The 14683-nt window shown below is 40.0% G+C and overlaps 1 protein-coding gene and 1 pseudogene across 5 annotated transcripts in view; one reads left to right on the top strand and one right to left on the bottom strand.

Annotated features, from left to right (window-relative positions):
* Window positions 1-2954: 2954 nt before the first annotated feature.
* The window catches only part of DTL (denticleless E3 ubiquitin protein ligase adapter), a 69266-nt gene continuing 57537 nt past the window's right edge, over window positions 2955-14683 (bottom strand). For all 5 annotated transcript variants that reach the window (NM_016448.4, NM_001286230.2, NM_001286229.2 and 2 more), the window contains 2 exons: window positions 6884-7716; window positions 2955-5126 (listed from right to left, as the gene is read on the bottom strand). In NM_016448.4, coding sequence (NP_057532.4) covers window positions 5028-5126; window positions 6884-7716 — 932 coding nt within the window. In that variant the 3' untranslated portion in view covers window positions 2955-5027. The remainder of the gene's footprint in view (window positions 5127-6883; window positions 7717-14683) is intronic.
* On the top strand, window positions 8292-8447 carry RN7SKP98 (RN7SK pseudogene 98; annotated as a pseudogene).

The raw sequence follows: 14683 nt of genomic DNA, 5'->3' as shown, positions 1-14683 counted from the left end.
AAGTTTTATTGGCATCAAAAACAGAGTAGCCTGGGGAAGAATCTCATCAAGTGAGAGCAAAGAATCTAGAGTCTTCATTATACTTCAATGAAATGTTTGAATCTTCTTTTGTATCCTACTACTAACAGACAGCAACATGGCTTGTTTTGAACTTTACCTATTTTATTTGTCTGCTCATAAGCAAGAGAGCACAATAGCCCAACAAGCAAGTACGAGTTGGCTCTTGGCTCTAAAGACCAGCAGCTGCAGCTTCCTCTCTAAAGGTGATCACATCTTAAACAATGTAGCAGAGCTGGGGGCAGCAGTCAGGAAATGGGAGGGTGGGCTTTGTGTGAGCAAAGGCTTTGGTTTGTTTAAGAGTTCAGGATATAGATTTGAAGATTATGGTCTCTTTGAACAGTGGCTACAGGCCACATATGAAATAATCTCCGTAATTTTCATGTGTACCTGGCGAGACAAAGTCATGAATTTCAAACTTGATTTTTCCCCACAGACCTACTTGCTCCTTTTGAAAAGTGCTGGGACTGGGAGGTCCAGGCAACATTCATGCTTTTGTTGTTTTTTTTTTAATTACCAGTTGATTCTGATTTGTGAAGACCTTTGCAGACTGCAGCTGTTAGTGGAAAGGGAACAGGAATGAGCTGAACTTTTATGTCCATGTATCGAATATAGATAATAACTCTTGCCCTCCATACTTAACAGCTAACAGCAACTGTTTAATAAAACATTAGGTATTATGTGCCAGGCACTGTCCTAAGAGCTTTACATGTAATAACCACAAAAATCCTTTTTTTTTTTTTTTTTTAGACGGAGTCTCGCTCTGTCATCAGGCTGGAGTGCAGTGGCACAATCTCGGCTCACTGCAACCACTTGACTCCCTGGTTCAAGCGATTCTCCTGCCTCAGCCTCCCGAGTGGCTGGGATTACAGGCGTGAACCACCAAGCCCAGCTAATTTTTGTATTTTTAGTAGAGATGGGGTTTCACCATGTTGGCCAGGGTGGTCTCAATTGCCTGACCTTGTGATCTGCCCGCCTCGGCCTCCCAAAGTGCTGGGATTACAGGCATAAGCCACTGTGTCCGGCCCCACATAATTCCATTTTAAGGTAGGAAACTCATTCACAGAAGGGTTAAGTAACTTGTCCACGGACACAGTTAGGGCTTGGATTTAAAGCTAGACAGTGTGGCACTAGGGATCATGTTTTCAACCATTATTTATAACCTTATAAGGAATATAATAAAAACATGTATCCAAAAAGTATTTTACTTTGAGAAGTTAAAAGTTCTAAGCAGCTGCTGAATTAAGTTCCTGGAGGAAAAGTAGGCTTCTAGACAGTACTTGCTACATAATAGCTGATTACAAACAACTTTACTCAAAGGACTTGAAATCTGATCTTTGCTGTTTCTCTCAAATGCTGACTCTGGCCTACTGAAGTATTAAAGTGACTCCTTTGGCAACTGAAAATAAAGAAAGGAACTCTTTGCAGACCAGGTGCCTCACACACAGGGCTTGGCACCCAGGTGATATGTAAATGTTGGCTGACTTAAACGCCTTCCAATCAAAGGCATTTTGAAATGTGCTATTCATATTTCACAAAATGGCTTGAATATAAACTATTCAGAATGTCAAAACAAAGGGGCATGTGGCAAGTTAAGGAAATTAAAGAGAAATGGAGTACAAATGGAATATTAAACCTTTTACATTCAAAGTGAAGAACCTGGTTGCATACCCTAAAAATCCTCTTTCCTGGCTTAGCAAGGGATGAACTTTGGGGATCAAGTAAGCCTATTCTTTAATAACACAATATCTCTCATTTGTGATGTATATGCTTGCTGCAGGCATACCAATATAAACAAGCTGCTTAATATGCTCAGGTGATTTCTTTTTTAAAGGCTGAATTTATCTTATATCATTTCTTAACAACCCCTACACTTTTTAGCTTGCACTCAAACACAGCTCAGAAATAAAACAGGTTTTGCTACCACTTTAGGGAACAAAATGGTTAACTTATAACAAGCTGGGGTCGTATTCCAGGCATCAAAGCATTAAACTTAACTCAAGTCCAACAAAATGTGTTCAGCCTGCCTATAACTTCCAACCAATATCTAAAGAACTGATGCATAATCCAATTTTTTTACCATAATCCCTGAGAATTTTATGAGTAATGGGTTAATTGGTAATGTGGCATGATCCAAACCTAGGGCAGGCAAAGAATTCCCTGTGAAGACCTGTGTGAGAAGCAATGAGATCTACTGCAAGAGCTCAACTGGGCCTACATTTAGCCCTTTATGGAATTATGAAGCAGAAACCACTTGTGTTGAATTGCCATAGGGAGGAAATTAACTCAGTTTTTCTAGTACAATGTTTTCACTCAGTCTGTCTTCTGACACACATTTGTAAAATGTTGCCCACACTATCTTAGTTGTGGAATTTATTTTTCTCTGTTAGACTACTTGGCCTTTGCTTTAAGAGCAATGTAAAAGGAACTAGGGACTAGGAAAAGCAGAAAAACAGACTTAAGAGCAGTAGTGTGTTGGCTATGACAGGCTCTCAAAAAGCATTTGTTGAACCCACACACTACCTATGTTATGAACATGGCCATAGGCTAATTTCAAGATGGGAGTTAAAGCTGTTTTAAGCTGTTAGGGCTGGGGATGGGGATAATGGGCTGACCCTCAACACAAGAGTAGCTACACATGGTCTTGATCCAACATCAGTTAAATGTGCAGTCCAGATGAAGAGACATTTGAAGACACTAATCAGTCATCCTCACAAAATTTAATTAAGGGCCCGTGTTGAAACAGCCAAAAGCAAACTCTAATACGGGATCCTAGCAATAGTGCTTGGAATGTATTCAAATGGAAAAGTTTGTGCTGGAAATACTTGTTTAGAAAAAGAACTACATCACTCCACCCTGCTTTATCAAGTAATCCAAGCCATCTTAAATGCTCAAAGTCTGATCCAAGCAAGATGTTTTTTATTAAAAGCTCTTTCAGCTTGAAATAGATTATAACTTTGGGAATAAACATTTTAATGAACAAGTAGAAGGGATTCTTGACTACTATAGTTCTTTTTTGTAGACTGCTTCTAGGTAATGCAAAAAGCTCAGAAAAGGACATCAGATAAGGTAAAAGGCTTTATTATTCAGGATCAGCTCAAAGTCTGACATGGACACAGGCAGGGATAATTATCTCATTACAGTTGACCTTTGGCACCCATTTAAAAGTACTAGCTTTCCAAGTGAGACATGTTATACCCAGTAGACTCGGTATAATTTCTGACAGCCAAATGTATCCCAATTTCACTCAGTAGGGCTGCCAGGAGATGGGTAGGGATACAAACAAAATCATCTACTTTATCAATCTTTTTTTTTTCATGGATTTTTTTCCCCCATTGGCTTTCAAAGCAAGTGAGATAAACAGCGTTACTGGCAGATATTGGTCATAAATAACATCTTCCCAAAGCCCAACAGTCAAAAAACAAACACCAAATATAAGCAGATTAGGCAGATTTCCTAAATATTCAGTTAAGGCTATGGTGTGCTTGGTTTTGACCAGAGCAATTCTATGGCTTCCTTTTATTTTTCTCCCTGGATAAAACTATGCTTACTTGATCCATGCAATTTCAGTTGTTACAGCTTTAACTTATAAGATCAAAGGAATTAAAAAGTTGTCAGAATAGATTTTCAAATAATGACAAAAACTGACATAAAGTCTACACAGTCCTCAGGGATATGGATAAAACAAATGAAGTTTCATGACTGGAAGGGGGCTCCCTTCTAAGTAAATAGTACATAGAAAGTATGTAAAGCCTCTTTCCATGAGGTTACAAAGGTGAAAAATATAAAACAATGGTTCAAGATCACTGATACATAATTGTTGAATAAGGGGAGGGATGTTTAAGATATTTTGCACATTATTAACTTAGAGTCAGTCTATACACTCTCTGTATTAAATATCTAGAGAAAATTCTATTACTTTTTGGCTCAGGGCTATCTATACTAAAAGGCTATTGCTTTTTATGTACATGAAAAGAAACTCAAGATTTATGTTTCTGGTTCTGGATTTTCAGTTAAGAGCTATATTCTGTTACAAAAATATCAATAAGAAATCATCACTTTTTTCTTAAAATCTGATGACTTATTTTTTTTAAAACATTGCAGCCCCTAAAGAACTGATGACTGCACCTGAATTCAAACCCCAAATTGATTTCATAAAACATCTTCCTCTAGTAAATGGCAAAAATCATAACCTCCTGTAGAAAGTGATGTTGGGTTGGCTGACATAGCAGATTGCTTGGTGAAAACATGGGGACCTGAAATCTCATACGGGAGATATATTTGAGAGAAAAAAGACAAACACAGCTTTCTGTTGTTGTTCTCCTAGTTTCTCCGAAGAGTTGACATTTATCACTGCATTTAAAATAAAGATGACTTTAACTCAAGAGACTGCATTTTAACACTGAACTGATATAAATGTACTTATCTGAGCATCACATTTTTACACATACTTAAAAAAAACCCCACAAAAGCATAGTGAAAAGATTATGTATTTCAAATAAAATTATACATGTTGGAGGCAGAACAGAACCAGGGGTCTTCAGCAGAGGATTTCTCAGTCAGCCTTCACAGGCCTCATGCTGTGGCTGGCAGATACTTTCCACTGAGCATAGAAAGTTTCAGGATAACAAGAAACTTGTTTTTTGCCTCCATGAACTGGGATGTCATTATTATAGAGAAGATGAATAATTTAAAAAGTGAAGACTATTCATTCAAAATGCTAGAGTGACAAATTTACTTTATGAAATTTAAACACAGCATTCATCCTCGGGAAGCTGCATATACATTATGGTAGTAGAACCAGATTAGGTACATTTCAGCGTTGAAAAGATTTTGTCTAAAAATGAAAAGGCAGCTTTCTTAAAGACCAGAGTTATAGAGTCACTCTTGTATTTTTCATCTTGTTTTAGTGGACCAAAGCTCAGCTTGTTTTAGTGGACCAAAGCTCAGTAACTCACTCAGATTAGAATCTATAATTCTGTTGAGTGTTCAGGACCACAGAAGTCCTCCTGGGACTTTCTATGGAAGTATGTGCAGATTTTCCTCATGGAGCTGGGCGTGATGGTGACCTAGAAGAAGAAAGTTTAGATTTCAGAGATTTCCTTGAAGTTCAACTGTTACTAAGTTATTACTAAGGCATACCTTAAATTAGGCTGCCAGAAATTTCATTGTTTAGCCTGCTTTCAGCTCCAAATACTTTCAATGGCAATGTCTCTTTTGGCTGATTTGTACTGACTATAGTAAAAACTTAACAGATGATATGTAGGGAAAGAAGGCATAGACTTCTTATGTGAATAGAAAACATTTACTAGCTAAGTCTCCTAATAAGAAACAAATAAGTTACAATTACTATCCTTTTTGAAATAAATGAATAAATCAGCCCCCCCAATTTATAAACAAGATAGGTATTCAAATGGAAGATGTTACTCTCTTCTGAAGGTTGACATTATCATCATATAAAGGTAAAAAATTTTTAAGAAATGTTAGCTTCAAATAAATTACAAGACCAGCACACTGTTTCTACTTTTTAAAGATTTTAAGATTTATGTATCAGTGAAAATAGTTTTTCATTGAAACTACTTTTCTGCTAACACATAGCTGAGACCAGCTCCCTTGAAAAAAAAAATAGAAATTTTGGCTAGGGATAAAGAGCAGTCATAATTTTGAGAGAAGGAAAGATTCCTTATAACTGTCTTTTTTCTCCACTTTCTACAGCAAGGTCTTGATTGCAGTTTGTGTACTAAGTTGTCTTTAAAATCTATCAGTTTATTTTTCTAAAATTATGGGATAGGTCTTCATGAGAGCAGGTCGGGGTTATGAACACTTTTTAAACTAAAACTGGCCTAAGGTTGGTTATCTAGCTTCTGCCCTTTAAAATGGCAGATGATGCTGATCATGATTCTGGATTCTATTTCAATCATCCCGCCACCACAAGAGCTACTGTGAAGTACAGTGGAAACTTCCTTAACCCATCTCCCCTTCACATGCAAACAACAGAAGCTTTTTATTCTCTCTGACTGGTGCCCATAGCTCACCCAATGCACTCAGCTACTTCTGCCTCCACCACTGTAATGAATCTTGTTTTTCAAGGTTCACAAACCTATTTCTGCCATCAATCACTGATGACTGATATTATCTAATTTAAATATTAAGTCAGTCAATGAAATGAGTCCTAAAAAGATAAGTGACACTACACTGAATGTTAAAAAGAATAGATATAGGTGTCAAAAGTATTACTGTGGTGTGGCAAAATGATTATAAAAGATTGTGGAGAAGTCATAAAAATCTAGAAAGATTTTGCACTCAAATTGTTTTGTAAGTATCTAAGTTTCACTGTATTTTAAATAATCACAAAATGGAATTACAAACTGGAAATCTACTTATGGATGTTGGCAACTTTCCCATGAACAACAGCTTTATCTATAAAAAGAGGATGGCATACTGTCTAACAGGAGAGGGGAGATATTTTTGAATTGATATCCTGGAGCATGATGAAGGCTTTGGTCAATCAGGCAACAGGGCTGAGGAGTATGGACCCTGACAGGAGGGATTTTAATGGGAGTAAGTAGAGTTGCCAGATAAAATACAGCACATTCAGTTACATTTGAATTTCAGACAAACAAAAATAGTTTCTTAGCATAAAACATTTTTACTAAAAATATGGCCCATGCAAAATTTGTTTTGTATTTATGTGCTGAATTTGGCAGCACTAGGAATAAATAGATTTCTTTCTTTAAAAAAAAAAAAAAGCATCCTGACTTGAGACATCTGGGTGTCTGGCCCCTTTTAAGTTAGGAAATGTATCTTCCCACCACTGCTGACTTACCGGGCTTGGCAATTTCTTTCCGCTCTGTCTCCTGGAATTGGGTGTCTGGGATGACGGACTTCGTGGAGATGGATTCTCAGCCTTCCGTTTGGCTGCCATGGCCAACAACCAGTTTTTATTCTCTGGGGAACTATTCTCTTTGCCTACCATTTCAGACCCTTCTCCACAAGGTCTCAAAGGAAGAGGTAGCGTTCCACAGCTTTCTGAAGCATACGGACTGATAGGAGACGGAGGCTCTGAGATACTGGTACCAGCTCCTTCAATTTTGCTTGATTTGGTAGGACCTAGAGAGTCCTTACTAAGGTCTTCCTGGTTACCAGCAAGGCAGCACAGATCCAAATGAAGATTTTCAACTTGGCCATCAAGCTCAGTCACACAGTTACAACTCTTCACACACTTTTGTTTCACACTCTCCAGACAGCTTGAGTCTAGCCTCCTCTTTACTCTATTTCTAGACTCAGAGCAAGCCTCTGCTTGGGATGACTTCTGGCTCACAGGAATAAGGGCTTTTCTCGGAGACATGATCTTGGTCTCCGAAGCAGGTGGAGTGATGGGTGGTGATGAGGAAGGTGTTCGGGTCACCCAGTTTCTAATCGACATCTTGAAAGATGAAGGTGGCTTGGGAGAGACGGAGGAGACAGAGCCTCTTCTGTTGATGGGAGACCGGGCCTTGGCAGGAGAGGTTTTAATAGAGAACGTAGGAGTATTTGAAGGAAGAGGGAGGTCTCCAGCACAGCTTGGGGCACAAGCTGCGGATGACGGGGAAGAATTGGATGGATTGCACTTTGCCCTGGGGGCTTTGGCAGGAGTACTCTGGCTACTCGTTACTGTTACTGAAAAAGAGGAGAGGATCATGAAGATCAGAAGTGAAAGCCATACAAAGTCCCTAAATTCTCATCAAGAAAAATCATAGCTAACCTAATCATCTAAGGGTCAATTTGCCAGTAAGTAGGTATACATCACTTGATTCCAACCACACCCTTTTATCATTTTCCTTTCTCTTTTCCAAGTCACCAACCTCCCAACTATCCCATTATAAAATATATACTTGTAAAAATCGACAAAATACCGAAAAACATAAAGAGAAAAAATTTAAAGCACTTACGTAAACCATGTTTAGCATACTTTCTATATTTGTGCATGTGATACATACTATACATCTCAACTTTTTTCTTTACAAAAATGAGACTGATTTAAGGGGAAAGTGGCAGATAGGAGGCAGGACTAATTTGCCACTCAGACAGACAGAACAGCATGTGGAGACTCACATAGTGAACTTTGGCTCCAAGAACTATCACAGGAACATACCAGAAAAAACAAAAGAATTAACAGATCCTTTGAAAGAAGTGGCTTGCTGCTGCAAAATCCACAAGACAGCAGAAAAATTGAGTGCCCAAAGTGTGAGAGGGCTCCCGAAGCTGTGTGCTTGGTCGAAGAGGACAACCATTCCTGATAAGAGGAGAATCGGTCTTCAGTCAAGGGTATACGAGTAAATGTGCTCCCCTGCTAGAACCTCCAAACAAGCTCTCAAGGTCCAAAGTGTGAGAGGGTGGCTGGGTGTGGTGGCTCATGCCTGTAATCCCAGCACTATGGGAGGCCGAGGTGGGTGGATCACTTGAGGTCAGGAGTTCAACACTAGCCTGGCCAACATGGTGAAACCCTGTCTCTACTAAAAATACAAAAATTAGCCAGGCATGGTGGTGTGCACCTGTAGTCCCAGCTACTCAGGAGGCTGAGGCAGAAGAGTTGCTTGAACCTGGGAGGTGGAAGTTGCAGTGAGCCAAGATCGCATGCACTGCACTCCAGCCTGCCTGACAGCGAGACTCCGTTTCAAAACAAACAAACAAACAAACAAACAAACAAAAAACAGTGTGAGAGGGGTAAAGTCCACTTCTGCACACATCCTCACTGAGGATCCAGATCATGGGAGAAGGAGAACTGAAATGAATTTAGAGAGCCAAACAAAATATAAAAGTAGAAGCAGCAGCAGGAAGAGCCCTGTAGGCACTCCTGGTCCCCAGGGAAACCATTTCTGACTATCTCACAGGGGTCTTTGGAGAGGGCAGCCAATGGAATTGGGGAAGGACCATAGGGAGAAGGAGACTTTCAGCTGAACTTTGTAATGATTTCAACTGAGCGTGAATTTTCCTGGGCAGAATCTGCAGGGGGATGGGACAAATAGGAAGTGCAGATATGAGCACAGAAGCTGTGGCAGGCAGATGGACAAGGCCTAACAGCCCTGCTTGCTTTCTCGGCGGGGAGTTTTGTAGTCTAGGGCAAGATCTCCACCCTGTGCACTGGAGGCATGGATATAAATTTGGTTCTGTTGGCTGTTGGGGAAGCACTGCAGGAGTGAGACTGGCCTTGCTGGCTGTGGTCTGTCACTGCCGGCTTTCCCCTATTTCCCTGGTGATGTGTATGAAGCAGCAGAGGCAGCCATAATCTCCCTTAGAACGTAACTCCATTGGCCTGTTAACCACCACTCCCATCGCCCAGAGGCCACAGCAAGCCCTGCCCAAGGAGTCTGAGCTCAGACACACTATCCCTGCCCCCACCAGATGGTCTTTCTCTAACCGCCCTGGTAGCCGTAAACAAAAGACAAAAACTCGTGGGGCCCTGCTCATTGCCTGAGAAGCCCGAAAACCTATCCAGGAAACCGTAAGGCAAGCTTATATCCCCCGCTATACTACTGCAGTTGATACTCTCTTGAAAGTGCCACCTCCTGGCTGGAGGCCAACCAATTCAAGCCATTACAGCAATTCAACAGAACAACCCTGCTCCAAGAAAGCAGAAAATAACAGCTAATTCTACTGCCTGTAACATCTTGGCCAACCAGAGAGGTCCTGAGTCTGTCCATGTAATAACTTCAGTGCTAGTATAACTAGCATTCAAGACAACCAGTACACTAAATAAAACTACAACCAAGTACTCTCACACAGTCCACTTCACTCCTTTCCTACCACCTCCATTAGAGCAGGTGCTAGTATCCATGGCATACAGACCTGAAGACAGATCACATCACAGGACTCTTAGCAGACACTCTCCAGTACCAGCCTAGAACCCAGTAGCTCTGCTGGGTGGCTCGACCCAGAAGAGCAATAACAATCACTGCAGTCCAGCTCTCAGAAAGCCCCACCCCTAGGGAAGGGGGAGAGCACCACACCAAGGGATCACTCTGTGGGACAAAAGAATTTAAACAGCACACATTGAGTCCCAGATCTTTCTTCTGACATAGTCCACCCAAACGAGAAGGAACCAGAAAAACAATTCAGGTAATATGACAAAACAAGGTTCTATAACCACCCCTAAAAGATTATACTAGCTTACCAGCAATGGATCCAAACCAATAATAAATCTTTGAATTGCCAGAAAAGAATTTAGAAGGTCAATTATTAAGCTACTCAAGGAAGCACCAGAGAAAGATGAAAACCAACTTAAATTTAAAAATAAAACAAAACAGGATGTAGACGAAAAAAATCTCCAGAGAAATAGATATCATAAATAAAAAACAATCATGACTTCTGGAAATGAAAGACACATTTAGAGAAATGCAAAATACACTGGAAAGTTTTAACAATAGAACCAAACAAGTAGAAGAAAGAATTTTGGAGCTCAAAGACAAGGCTCTTGAATTAACCCAATTCAACAAAGACAAAGGCAAAAGAATAAAAACTTCTCTGGCCTTGCTCGAGATCTAGACATCCAAATACAAGAAGCTCAAAGAACACCCAGGAAATTCATCACAAAAAGATCATCACCTAGACACACAGTCATCAGGCTATCTAAAGTCAAGATGAAGGAAAAAATCTTAAGAGCTGGGAGGCAAAAGCATCAGGTAACCTGTAAAGGAAAAACCTATCAGATTAACAGCAGATACTCTACAAGCTAGAGGGGATAAAGGTCTTATCTTTAGCCTTATTAAATAATTATTAGCTGACAAAATAATTATCAGCCAAGAATTTTGTATCCAGTGAAACTAAGCTTCATAAATGAAGAAAAGATGAAAGTCTTTTTCAAACGCTGAGAGAATTTGCCACTACCAAGCCAGCATAGTTTACAAAAACTGCTAAAAGGAGTTCTAAATCTTAGAGCAAAACCTTGAAATACACAAAAATAGAATCTCATCTCATAGTGGGGGACTTCAATACAGTAAGTCAACATAGAAACAATGGACTTATACCCTAGAACAAATGGACTTAACAGGTATTTACAGAACATTCTACCCAACAACTGCAGAATATACATTCTATTCATCAGAACATTCATGGAACATTCTCCAAGATAGAGACCATATGATAGGCCACAAAACAAGTCTCAATAAATTTAAGAAAATCAAAATTATATCAAGTACTCTCTCAGACCATAGTGGAATAAAATTGGAAGTCAACTCCAAAGGGAATTCTTAGAACCATGCAACATTAAATAATCCGCTCCTGAATGATCTTTGGGTCAATAATGAAATCAAAATCAAGCTGGAAATTAAAAAAATTCTTTGAACTGAATGAAAAAAGTGACACAACCTAACAAAACCTCTAAGATACAGCAAAAGCAGTGCTAAGAGGAAAGTTCACAGCATTAAGTGCCTACATCAAAAAGTCTGAAAGAGCACAAATTGACAATCTAAGGTCACACCTCAAGAACTAGAGAAATAAGAACAAACCAAACCCAAACCCAGGAGGAGGAAAGATATAACAAAGACCAGAGTAGAACTTAATAAAAATGAAACAACAACAACAAAATACAAAAGATAAATGAAACAAAAAGCTGGTTCTTTGAAAAGATAAACAAAATTGATAGCCCATTAGTGAGATTAACCAAGAAAAGAAGAGAGAAGATCCAAATAAGTTCAATTAGAAATGAAACAGGAAATATTAACAACGAATACCACAGAAATACAAAAGATCATTCAAGGCTACTATGAACACATTTGTGCTCACAAACTAGAAAACCTAGAGGAGATGGATAAATTCCTGGAAATATACAACCTCCTAGATTAAACCAGGAAGAAATAAGAACTCTGAACAGACCAATAACAAGCACTTAGATTGAAATGGTAATAAAAAAATTGCCAAGAAGAAAAAGTCCAGGACCAGATGGATTCACTGCTGAATTCTATCAGACATTCAAAGAAGAACTGGTACCAATCTTACTGAAACCATTCCAAAAGAGAAAGAGGGAATACTCCCTAAATCATCCTATGAAGCCAGTATCACTCTAATACCAAAACCAGGAAAGGACATGACAAAAAAGAAAACTACAGACCAATATCCCTGATGAACATAGATGCAAAAATCCTCAACAAAATACTAGCTAACCAAATCCAACAGTATATCAAAAAGATAATCTACCATGATCAAATGGATTTCAAACCAGGGATGCAGGGAAAGTTTAATATACACAAGTCAATACATGTGATACACCATATAAACAGAATTAAAAACAAAAATCAGGCCGGGTGCGGTGGCTCATGCCTGTAATCCCAGCACTTTGGGAGGCCGAGGAGGGCAGATCACTTGAGGTCAGGAGTTTGAGACCAGCCTGGCCAACATGGTGAAACCCCATCTAAAAATACAAAAATTAGCCAGATGTGGTATCTCAGCTACTTGGGAGGCTGAGGCAGGAGAATCCCTTGAACCTGGGTGGTGGAGGTTGCAGTGAGCTGAGATGGTACCACTGCACCCCAGCCTGGGCAACAAGAGCGAAACTCTAAGAGAAAAACAAACGAAAACACATGATCACTTCAATAGAAGCAGAAAAAACGTCTGACAAAATCCAGCATCCCTTTATGATGAAAACACTCAGCAAAATCAGCATAGAAGGAACATACTTGAAGGTAATAAAAGCCATCCATGACAAACCCACAGCCAACGTTATACTGAACGGGGAAAAGTTGAAAGCATTCCCCATGAGAACTGGAAAAAGACAAGGATGCCCACTTTCACCACTTCTATTCAACATAGTAGTGGAAGCCCTAGCCAGCCACAGTCAGTCAGAAAAGAGAAATTAAAAGGCATCCAAATTGGTAAAGAGGAAGTCAACCTGTCACTGTTAGTAAATGATATGATTGTATACCTAGAAAACCCTAAAAACTCATCCAAAAAGCTCCTAGATCTGATAAATGAATTCTGTTAGGTTTCAGGATACAAAATCAATGTACATAAATCAGTAGTACTGCTATACAGCAACAGCAAACAAGCTGCAAATCAAATCAACAACTCAACCCCTTTTACAATAGCTGCAAAACCTAGGAATATACCTAACTAAGGAAGTAAAAGACCTCTACAAGGAAAACTACAAAACACTGCTAAAAGAAATCAGATGACACAAACAAATGGAAAAACACAACCTACGCTCAAGGATGGGTAGAATCAATGCTGTGAAAATAACTATACTGCTAAAAGCAATCTACAAATTCAATGCAATTCCCATCAAAATACCATCATCGTTCTTCACAGAACTAGAAAAAACAATCTGAAAAGTCATATGGAACCAAAAAACAGCCCACATAGCCAAAGCAAGACTAAGCAAAAAGAACAAATCTGCAGGCATCACATTACCTGACTTCAAACTACACTACAAGGCTATAGTCACTCAAATAGCACGGTACTCGTATAAAAATAGGCACATAGACCAATGCAATAGAACAGAGAACCCAGAAATAAAACTAAATACTTACAGACAAATAATCTTCAACAAAGCAAACAAAAACATGAGGTGGGGAAAGGACACCCTATTCAACACATGGTGCTGGGATAACTGGCAAGCCTCATGTAGGAGAATGAAACTGGATCCTCATCTCTCACCTTATACAAAAATCAACTCCAGATGGACCAAAGACTTACATCTAAGACCTGAAACCATAAAAACTCTAGAAGATAACATGGGAAAAACTCATCTAGACATGGCCTAGGCAAAGAGTTCATGACAAAGAACCCAAAAGCAAATGCAAGAAAAACAAAGATAAATAGATGGGACTTAATTAAACGAAAAAGCTTCTGCACAGCAAAAGAAATAATCAGCAAAGTAAACAAAGAACCCACAGAGTGGGAGAAAGTCTTCACAATCTATGCAACCAACAAAGGACTATTATCCAGAATCTACAAGGAACTCAAAAAAATTGATACGGGAGTGCTGGGAAGGGAAGAGCATGGTCCCTTTAAATGATACGGAATGGGGGAAGGGAAGTGTTGGGCAGAAGAAGGTGTGATCCCTGGCTAGGGCTCCATCCCCACAGACCTAGGTGAGGACAGGCATTTCCTGCCCAAATGTTGCATTTCCCAAGACCACCTTGGCCTGCCACGCCCCCATCCTGTGCCTATAAAAACCCCCAAGACCCTAGCAGGAACACATGGTGGCTGGATGTTGTGAGGAACACATGGGCAGAGAAAGACACAAGTGGCTGGTCGTCAAGCAGACGTTGAGAAGCACGCTGGCAGAAGAGCACACTGACAGGCATAGGCAGGCCGGCAGGCCAGCAGGGCATCAACCGGTGGAATGATGCAGTTTGGTCGGGGCAGTCGGAGGAGAACTGGGGCCGCCAAGGGCCCAACTCCAGGGGAAAGCCATTTCCCTTCTGGCTCCCCCATCCGCGGAAAGCTACTTCTGCTCAGTGGAACCTTGCACTCAAATTCTCCAAGCCCACATGTGATCCGAGTCTTCTGGTACACCAAGGCAAGAACCCCGGGATACAGAAAGCCCTCTGTCCTTGCGATAAGGCAGGGGTCTAATAGAGCTGGTTAACACAAGCCGCCTATAGACAGCAAAACTAAAAGAGCACACTGTAACACACGCCCACTGGGG

This window comes from Homo sapiens, chromosome 1 (genome assembly GCF_000001405.40).
Source record: "Homo sapiens chromosome 1, GRCh38.p14 Primary Assembly".
Lineage (NCBI taxonomy): Eukaryota > Metazoa > Chordata > Mammalia > Primates > Hominidae > Homo > Homo sapiens.
The sequence above is the reverse complement of the archived record's forward strand: the minus strand, read 5'-3'. Positions and strand labels throughout refer to the sequence as shown.